This window comes from Homo sapiens, chromosome 1 (genome assembly GCF_000001405.40).
Source record: "Homo sapiens chromosome 1, GRCh38.p14 Primary Assembly".
Lineage (NCBI taxonomy): Eukaryota > Metazoa > Chordata > Mammalia > Primates > Hominidae > Homo > Homo sapiens.
The window spans coordinates 200,241,265-200,252,265 of NC_000001.11; the positions used below are offsets into that span (position 1 = coordinate 200,241,265).

The following is an 11,001-nucleotide window of genomic DNA, read 5'->3' on the forward strand; positions in this document are numbered from 1 at the left end:
GTTTGGCTTTTTATAGACAATATATTTTTCTCTAAACTGAAGCAAGGGATCTGAAACTTTGAATCTCATGTGATTATGCAAGGAAGGAGGCCTATAACCCTATAAAAAAATACAGATCCAAACCCGTTCCTTACCAAATGTATTGAAATGATCCCATTTACCAGAACAACTGTGAAGACAGAAGTTTCCCCATGCAATAGAGATCAATCCACTTTTACTGAGCTCATAAGGAGCCCACATCAATCTTTCTTTGAGGACATACATATCATCAGTAAAATTCAGCTGTGTATCATGGCATATGACATTATTCAATATCCATCTTGATCTTAAAACAAAAGTTCATTTCTGGTGAAAATAAGGCCAACAAATCATATTTTCTTAAACGTTTGAGTTTAATCATTTATGAGATCACGTCTCTTTAAAAAGTCTTCATGGTAATAAAAAAGTATGGTAACAACAAAAATGACAACAAATGATATACGATTATTTTGGGGGTGTGTAAAATTTAACACAAATGTAACATAAAATTGAGTTAAAATGATGTTTATATAGAAAATAATTATTTTAATTAATGAGCTTGCATGTATGAGGGTCTATTTTGTTATACTATGATTTGTAGAGCAAATTAATAAATAGTATTCTTTTAGTATTTACTTATTCGTTTAGCTATGTTATGCCAAGAGGAATTGGTAGTGATTAATAAAGAGGGACAGTTTTTGTAGATTCTTCTTTAACCATAAATAAGCTGGACACCTTTTATATGAGTATTGTTATTAATGGCAACAACAAATCTTTAACAATGTAGGCAGTGTGTCTGGAATTTGTAAAAGAGATGCCATAAAGAGGTCAAAGGAAGAAGACAGAAAAAGTGTGGGTTTATCGCTCATGTATATTAATCCCCAATAAGACAGGATCTGATATCGCAGCATCTTAGAGGAAGAAAACAAAACCATTACTGCGTAAACATCCCCAGTGAGGAGCCAACGAGACTCAGAGGCCCTGTCTGCAGAAGCAGATAGCGGTCACCCACCCATCCATCCATCCATGACACACCCCCATCAGAGAAGAGGGTCTGCTTTGTGTTTATTGGGTCTGGAGCTGAGGCTGCAATAGATGACCAATATAACAGAATGGGGGCAAATCACTTAAAATGTCTGAAATTGCATGACTAGTTGACATTATGCAATTTCCTAACTTACTATTCAACTTCACTTTCCACTAGGTGCTGAGAGCATGAGCATATAAGCAACAGGAGTTTTTAAAAGGCCGCTCTTCAATGCAGACAGAGCTAAGCACCTCAGTAGTGACACAATATAAACTTCACTACATGAAATCCTGGAAGTTGATGTAAACAGCTTTTAATAGCAGTGAACATTTGTTCGCTTTGTTTAGACCATCTGGATGTTCCATTGTGTTCAGTTCAACACTGACTGCCGCCGGGTGACAGTTGATATATGTTAAGTACAAGCAAAGTGCCTCAGCCCACTCTGGGGACCTTAACGAGAACTTTTCAGTGTTTTGTGGATTATTCTGTCAGATCGCAGCCGAGTCGCCTGCATCCTTTATGGCTACATGCCAAAGTCCTCCGGCTTTTTTATCAAAGGAGAGTTTTGCTTTTACTGTTTGAAAGGTTAGGAAAACTATGCCAAAGTTCTTCCAGGCAGCTTGGAGAGCACGAGCTGACAGGAATGATTTCCAATATGGAGGAGAGAATAAAGAGGACCTTGGATCCTAAGAGAAGCCAGGCTTTGCTTGTTTAATATGCAACATGTCTGACAAACAAGCCATTAAAACACCACCAAAGAAAATCTGCCCGATAAACATATAAAGCGGTTAGTTTTCTGAAGAGGAGAGATTATTCCTTAAAAGCACAATCTCCTCCACCCGCACGAACCACTGTGTGGTGTGCAATTGTGCATACGTATGTTTACTTTCTAATGCAAAGAAGCCTCCGCGTGCTTATCCTGATGTTGCACGAAGCAGAATCATTCAAGTGAAAAATGCCACTGCAAAAAGAGAACGAAACAGATCAACATTACTTTGTATAAAGATTACACAAGCACAGTTGGCGCCCTGCAGAGCAAAGAAAGGGCTTAAAAATCTGCCCTGACTCACTTACCAGCCAGTTTGGCTTTATTGGAACATCTGCGAAATGCTAAATTTGCACTTCTGGAGCTCTTCGAACCCACTGCTGTTGCTGCTGCTTGGTGAAACACAGATGAGGCATGATGGAGCTGGGATCGCTTGAGATACAATTATATTTCTGACTTCTTTTTTTTTTTTTTTTACTACATCATTTAAAAATGATTTAATAAATGCAATTTTACCTCACTACAGAAAACATAGAAACTAGATGATGTCCAAGTTGAGTATCCCTTATGTGAAATATTTGGGACAAGAGGTGTTGTAGGATTTCGGATTCTTTTGGATTTTGGAATATTTCATATACATAATGAGATATCTTGGGGATGGGACCCAAGTCTAAACACAAAATTCATTTATATTTCACATACACTTTATACAGATAGCCTGAAGGTAATTTTATACAATATTTTTAATACTTTTGTGCATAAAACAAAGTTTTGATTGCAACCTGTCACATAAGGTCAGGTGTGAAATTTCCTAGTTGCAGCATCAGGTCAGTGCTCAAAAAGTTTCGGATTTTGGAGGATTTTGAATTTCAGGTTTTCTGATTCAGAATGCTCAACCTGTATCATAACAACTTGATCTCAGATTCTTGTTCATGCTGGAAACATAATGATACCTCTTGTGTTTGGTGTCCTGCCAGATCTCAATGAAAAGTCGAAATGAAGGGGAGAAAGTTTATGTATAGGTGAAATCTATGATTGATATAACTCTGGGTACCATGATTTAGATAACATTTGGTTCTAACAAGTACCACAATCGTCACCCTTTCCTTCTTTATCTTAGGTGGCACGAAACAGGTAAGGAAAAGCCTGTAGGAAAGGGGGAAACGTTGAGAACCAGATAGACTAATCTATGAAATGGGGATACTAATATCCCATCATAGATTTCATCTAAGGATTAAACGAGACAGTGCATGCAAAGATGCCTGCTACAGTGAATTGTTTCAACAAATGGTTATTGATCAAAATTGGTCACTAGACAAAAATCTACTGAAAATTTAATTATGTAAAGTCATTATATAGGCAAATAAGGATCTATGACAATATATTTTTAAGATACATTAATAGACAGATAAATAAGTTATTTTTGAGAGAGATCTCTATGTTGTATTGAACAAATTATACCAAAGATTCTTAGTTCCACTTATGGATTAATTACGTGTCAAGAGCAAGACAACTTTTCCAATAGTTTCTAAAGATTGCGTTTATCTCCTAATTTTTTCATGATTACAAATTAAGCAAAAAACCGTGTTCGATAGTTCAAAAGAAAAAGAGCACAGAGAAGATTACTGGAAGAGTATTCTCTGTTACGTCTGGTAAATAAAATATACATGTGTATATGTGTATTATTGCATGTATTGTGCACTACTCTCAGGATAACTTTTGAAGTGCCTAGAACAGTACATCATAGAAGCACAATAAATGTTCATTGAATGAATGAAAAAACCCTTAAGGGTTCTGCATCTGTAATTCTACAGTGCAGCAATCTTGAGTCTTAGCAAACATCAAGCACAATTGTCACAACAAAAAAAAAACCACTATGAGTTTCTAATATAACAATAAACAACAGTAACAAATGACCAAATAGTTAAAATTTTCAGAAACAGAAATTTTCATCAGAACTTAACTGATTTTCCAAAGGATGGTGAAGTAGATGTGGATTAAACAATTATTATGATTTTTTAAAAATTCATAGTCTTTATTGCCTTTGTATCTAACATAATAGATTTCAAAGTGTTTTTATACTCAAAACTTATTTAAAATGACCTATCTTTATGCCCTTTTCTTTGAAATAAAACTTAAAGCATATAGTTTTAAAGAATAACTATAGTTGAATTATTAGAATCACGTTTGTTTTTTTCCATTTACTTTTACCTCTCTCAAATTAAGCCATATCCAAGATAATATATGTAACATGAAGGGAGTGAACAAATAGTTTCTGTGGCAAATTGTGTCTTCAAAAGATGGCCATAACGTCTCCCATTCCAGAAGCTCTTCTGACCTTGGTGCTCCTCTCTGCAAGTGCTGGGGTCTGTGCCCCCTTTCTTTGAACCTGAGAAGACATTTACGACGACCTCAACGAACAATATAGTGAGAATGATGCTGTGCACCTTCTAAGGCTAGATTTCTTTAAATGCCATGTACTTTTGCTTTGTTCTGTTGGAATCCGGCCATCAGGCTGGGAGGAGACGCAAGCTGCCTCACAGATAGGCCCACATGGAAAGTCCCTGGCCCCAGCTCTGGCTTGATTCCTAGATGACATTCAGGACCAACTCACCAACCATCAGAGTGAGCCATCTTGAAAACGGATTCTCTAGCCCCGAGTCAGCTGACCCACCCATGCCACATAGGGCAGAGATGAGATCCAAGCTGAAGATTCATGAGCAAACTAAATAATTTCTTTCTTATAGACTACTATGTTTTGTGGTGGCTTGTTATGCAGAAATACAAAGCACATATAGTTTCTAAGATTAGAATTCTGAGATTCTACAAAGTTATATGTATATTATTTGTAATATTTTGCTTAAGTGGTTGGTAGAGCACAATTAGTATTTGTGGGACTTGTTAGAAATAGGAAATGAGATTTTAGTACTAGAAAATTGGATTGAAGCTCTATCTGAACTTTATATTTCACCTACAAAACATAAATAACATTCACCTATAAGATAGAAATAACAATTTAGGGTTTATTTATGCTTTCTAGAAGCTATCCATAATAGCAGCTATGAAACAACAATGTAACATCAAATAATTTGATTATATAAATATTTCTAAGTCAGTTGGGTAAACTGAGCCAGAGTTTCATTTAAAAAATTATAAGACATTTCCTGAGATGTAAAACTTGGTTATTAATCAAATGAAAGAATATAAATGGAAAAACACTTTGTAAACCATAAATCATTCTACTAGAAGAAGTCAATATTTTAAAACACACACATACAACTTATTATTTCAAAATCTAACAGCTCCAGTTAGACGTACATGATCAGAACATTGTAAATAATACATTTATAAATTCATTAATCCTTTTTAAAATTCCAGACTAATGAAAAATAGTGCATTTTTAAACAGCTACTTTGGCAGCAGGGGATTGGATTAGATGACCTCTTAAAGTTCTCTTCAGGTCCTATGATTCTGAGAAATACAAGCTGTCTTTCTATCTATAGACACCAGTTCACAGAGGATTTTAAATCTAATTCCAATTAGCTAAATTCCTTGCATTATACAAAAACGAAAAAAAGTCCATTTCAATGCCCATATTAATGAAGTAATAATTAAATCATCTTCCATAATAAATGGCATCAATGTAAAGATTATTCATTTCTCAAAAACTGAATATCATTTGCTTCTGATTTTATAAATTATCATTTAAGTATTTTTGATTTTTCAAATGTAACAATCTTTTAATAGCCACAAAAAAAGTTCTATTGTAAATCAACAGACTGCAGTCTTCAAGAGAGCATATTTCTAAATAATCATATTTTATACAGGTCCCAAAAATAAGTAGTAAAAGATTTTTAAAAATCACATCGAGGCTATCTTACTGAGGGGATTTTTTTAAGTGTTAAATGAACCACATTAATATTCATGACTTCATCTGCATAAGCAGTGAAAGAGCTTTATTTGATTCCTCAATTTTCTGTGTAAATAAGTGTTTAAATATTTTCTACCTCAGAACCAACAACAGCAACTCATTAGATACTCAAAAAATTAAAGCAAAACATAAAAAGCAAATTTTGATCAAATGTAGTGGTAGGAATGAGCCAATGATTCAACAGCATCTGTACTATAAAATGTAATGTCACCTAGTTTTTTAAAAAGTGAAGATGCTAATTCTGCTGATGAAGATATTGTTTTTCCCCTCTTGTGCCCTATTCATTATGCAAGGCTGCAGAATATGAAGTGGAGATGTGTGATCCGGGCGATCTAATGATCTCCCACACCTGCTCATCTGGTACGATTTTAATTAACACTCCAAGGAGGTTTGTCAAGAGTAATCAAAAACATTGTCGCTTATAAAGCTGTGGCAAGAAATCAATAGTTTTCATCAGAAAAGGTAAGGTCTGGCATAACTGAACCATTTAATTGCTTCATTCCAATAAACAAAAACTGCACATTTTAATGACTTGATTCGGGAGATCAATATCTAACCACATATTGCATTAAACAGCAACATGTGGTGGGATATTCGTAGTCATTTCCATTCCGAAAGCAGCATTCCTCTTTTTTATTTCATCCCGAGTGGCAATAGGTTGCCGCGCCTATGCGGTGCTATGATTTATATCAAATGAGTGACCTCTGGGGCTGTAAGACTAGAACGGGTGACTAGCTCTCAATGGTAAGCTACTGGCACTTGACAAAGTGCCTGAAGCAGAATGAATTTACTTCTCTTTTCCTCAATCATCAACAGGCTCTGCCCTGACCCCCGTTCTGACTCCTATAACAAGATCTCCTGTCGCTGCCTGAAAAATTTACAGTCGCGTCGACTTCTCATTGAGTTCGAGTGAGTACTTCTGTCACCTTCAGTGAACTGAGTCCGCAGGAGATTTAACTAAACACCAGTCCTAGTTTAAAAACTAAATAAGTGTGTTTCCTGCAAAGCAGGCAGCGTCCAAAGGTATCTGTTTCCAAACAGTACGATATTCTAAAAAGTCAAATTTTTCTTTGTACCACATTTAATTCAAAGCAACATTTGGGTCCCAAAACTCACTTATTCATGTGGTGCCATGAATGTGAAACTCTTCTTAGTACTACAGACCTTAAGAACTATCTGTTTGCTATTGGTTGCCACCAGAAGACTGATGTCCACAGGGCACTGAAGTCATTGTGATGGTTATTTGAAAATAGAAATTCTTATTAACCTTCAGGAAATACTGTATGTAATATGCATACACCAAATACCCTCATGTTCAGCTGTAATAAATACACAGGTATGCAAGAGGAAATAAAGACATCAGATTAAATAACTAAGCAGCCTAATGCATTTGATGCATCTTACTTAAAAAGATATTTTAAAATATATTGTCAATAAGGACTTTAAAACAATGACTTGAAGAAATTTAGATATTAAATATCAGGCTATTATAACATTCACTAGTAAAACCTACACAATAAAGCATAAACCCACATTTATGTAATATACATGACTTTTAACAATCGACTTAAAATAAGCAATCAAAACGAACATTTGCAAACCCGTGTCAACAACAAGGCAATTAAAAGATTGACGTTTGATGGTTTATTCTATCTCACTAAAGCCTTACGCAAAATTTCCACTCCCTCTTTAATTTTCAATTCTTCTACCCTCCCTGCTTCACAGCTCCTGGCTATTGGCTTTTACAATCTGTCCCTAGGGAGTGAGGAGTTATTACCCCTGTCGATGGAAGAGAAAGGGATGTTATTCCCTTGTCACCCTCTTCGGCTCCAGCAGATTCCAAGTGCTGATGTATAGCCTTCATTGGAGAAAGGCGACTGAGATGCTGTTAGTCCTCAGACCTGTCAGATCCATCTACCTGTGCCATTGGCATTACTTACTGGAGTCAGAGTGACACTCGGTGCCCCCAGAGTCAACCAAAAAACTCCAGGAGCAAATACTACACCAGGCATTCTGCTACTATGGAATAAATACCATCACAAATGTCCAAGCCCCTTAGCAGAAAGGATTTTGCATCCTGGCCACAAAGGCAAATGCAAAAGTTTGTAGGCAAAATCCTTCAGAATTGCACAAAGTTTCTTTTGTTAGGCACTGAATATAAAATAAACATTGTGATGACTTATGAAAAAGCTGAGGAAGTCTCCTTAAAAACACTTTTGAGACCAGGCGCTGTGGCTCATGCCTGTAATTCCAGCACTTTGGGAGGCCAAGGAAAGTGGATCACAAGGTCAGGAGATAAAGACCATCCTGGCTAACACAGTGAAACCCTGTCTCTACTAAAAAAAAAATACAAAAAAATTAGCTGGGCGTGGTGGCGGGCGCTTGTAGTCCTGGCTACTCAGGAGGCTGAGGCAGGAGAATGTTGTGAACCCTGAGCCGAGATTGCACCACTGCACTCCAGCCTGGGCAACAGAGCAAGACTCCATCTCAAAAAAAAAAAAAAAAAAAAAAATTTTCGAGATACTGTACCAATTGTTCACATTCCTTTAAATCATTCAATTCCTCTTGTTACTATGATTTCATCATTACATCATGAGAGTTAAGAAACTGGAAATTTCTACTTAATTCATAATTTACAAACCTATATTCTTGTTCTCTCTCTCTCTCTGTCTCTTTCTGTCTCTCATTCAAAATATAAACAATTGCTTCCATTAATTGTCCAAAAATATCACAATATTTTGCATGGGTAGAAAATAGACCTTAATTTCTAGAATTCAGCCATGAGTTCTCCATCCTAAGAAATGTCTTGTCAGGCTCTAGGCTATGAGACTCTTCCAACGAAGATATATAGAACCTTTTATTCTTTTTGTCTTTGGTTTGCACAGCGCATCTGTCCTTCTCCCACCTGTCTTTAAGCAAGGTGGGTAAGCAAAGGGCGCTCAGTAAGAGTCACTGCCTGGCCTGGCCTGCTGGATGAGTTAGGAGGCCTGGGTCCTGATGAGGTTAACGTCAGAGTCACCATGGTCTGGTGCAGTGGGCTCCAAGATTCACACGCCGTGTTAGTAAAAAAAAAAAAAAAAACAAAACAAAACAAACAAAAAACCCTTGAGCTTGCACCCACAACATATGCCTATTTTTTCATCTATAAGTTATATTCAACTACATGTCCACAATAATTACCCAAAATGCTTAGAACGAAATATGCTTCAGATTTTTCCAATTTTAGCAAGATAATAGGGTGCAAATAACATACATTATGTAACACCCCAGTGGGGATCCAGGGCAGCGTCACATAATGAAAACACATTAAGAGTTCTACAAAGAAATGCATGACTATTCTAATTATTCCTACCAATTGCATTAAATAAAGACTATTGCCACACCAGTTCAGGTCAGTTCAGGCTGAATGGCCAAATGAATTACAAAATAACTTCAGATTTTCAGAGCTTTTTAAACATCAGGATCGTGGATAAGGGATTGTGAACATGTACTCTACTAGATTAGGTACAGCATAAAACATTTGCTTAAAAAAATAGATAAAGGGGAATGAGATAAAAATAGAAAAGGAAATTCTAACATTTTCCTTTTGTATGCCCACAGCGCACACACTGTATTTCGGAAACCACTCCATGCTAGTTCCTAAGCAAGGCTACAAGAGGTGTAAGCACAGTTTAAATCCTCCCCGAGCAGAATGAGCTAATATTCAGGGGGCAGTGCCACAGAGCCAGACTTCATAGTTCCCCTTCCTTCTCTCACAGAAAACACAAAACTGCAAATTGTCTACAGTTAAGAGCCAATGCCCAAGCCAGCCCTGCCAGCCCCCTAACTCCTTAGGGGTGCGCCATGCCTTTATAGATAGGCTCACACCCATAATTGGGAAGAAAGAGGAAAGGACGTCACGACTCGCAGGTAAGTACGATGAATTGAAGAAAACAATTCCTTTGCCAAACTGATTGTTGATTAATCACCTAGGGGACTACACTCACAGTTTAAATTTCGTGTTTGTTAAAACTCTTCCAAGTGACCAGCATTCACTAGAATTGACCCAGCCTTACCATTTCTGGTAGTAACATTTTAGTACGAGTCAATAATCTATTTCCCAGAGTGACCTCTGTTATCCCCAAGGAGCCAGGTGAATAAAGAAGCAAAAGAGGCTGAAGCACATCGATAAAGGGTATATTTTTTGCTTGAAATCCTCAGTGAAATAAGTTTAAAATTGTAACACAAAGCACTTTCCACAAGGAGCCACCATTCATCATAAGTGGCTCTTCCTTCAACCCCGATGGCCAATTCCTTGTTCCCTCTTACACACTTGTTTTTTTTTAAATGAGAAGAACCATAAGGAAGCCAAATGAATGATTAATGATGTCAGGGAACACCTAGACTACTCCTAAGTGTTATAATTTCCTTTTCTCTAAATTTTTCCTTTGGCTTATATTTATTTTTCCTCACTTAGAAGACAAGGGTGGTGCTTTTCTGATCATTGATTGCTCACCCAGTGACAATGCTAGAAACCCAAGCGGAGTAGACCCCACCACCACCCACCCCTCCTCACTCATTCCTATCCTGTAACTATGGGCCATCCAGTTTGGGTCAGATACAGACTTCATAGTACCCCTCCCTCCTCTTACAGAGAACACAAAAGTGCAAATTATCTACAGTTAGGAGCCACTACCCAAGCCAGCCTGCCAGCCCCCTAACTCCTTAGGGACGCGCAATGCCTTTATAAATAGACTCGCACACATAATTGGGAAGAAAGACGAGAAGTCTAGTGCAGTGGCTCACGCCTGTAATCCCAGCACTTTGGGAGACCGAGGCGGGCAAATCATGAGGTCGTGCGTTCGAGACCAGCCTAGCCAAAATGGTGAAACCCCATCTCTACTAAAAATATAAAATATAAAAATTAGCCAGGCGTGGTGGTGGGCACCTGTAATCCCAGCTACTTGGGAGGCTGAGGCAGGAGAATTGCATAAATTCAGGAGGTGGAGATTGCAGAGAGCCGAGATCAAGCCACTGCACTCCACCCGGGGCCACAGAGCAAGACTCTAACTCAAAAAAAGAAAGAAGAGTTCACAGGTAAGTATGGTAAAAAATCAGAGCAATCAATGATCAGGGTGGTTCCCCTAAGCCCCTCTTCCAACCACCCTGCCTGGCCCTGGGCCTAATGGACCAAAAAAGTCTGTTGATGAATGAAGAAAGTTTTAGAAGTCACATCAGCTGTGTTCTTATCCAAAAGTGCCTCAGTTTGCCCCTCACAAG

General features: G+C 37.4%; 1 long non-coding RNA gene across 1 annotated transcript; it reads right to left on the reverse strand.

Moving 5' to 3' along the window:
• Positions 1-373: 373 nt before the first annotated feature.
• LOC124904479 (uncharacterized) lies at positions 374-7,188 on the reverse strand. Its single transcript, XR_007066782.1, has 2 exons — positions 2,120-7,188; positions 374-2,006 (listed from the first exon to the last, which is right to left on the reverse strand). It is a non-coding gene; the product is annotated as an uncharacterized LOC124904479 (long non-coding RNA).
• Between the last annotated feature and the right edge of the window lie 3,813 nt (positions 7,189-11,001).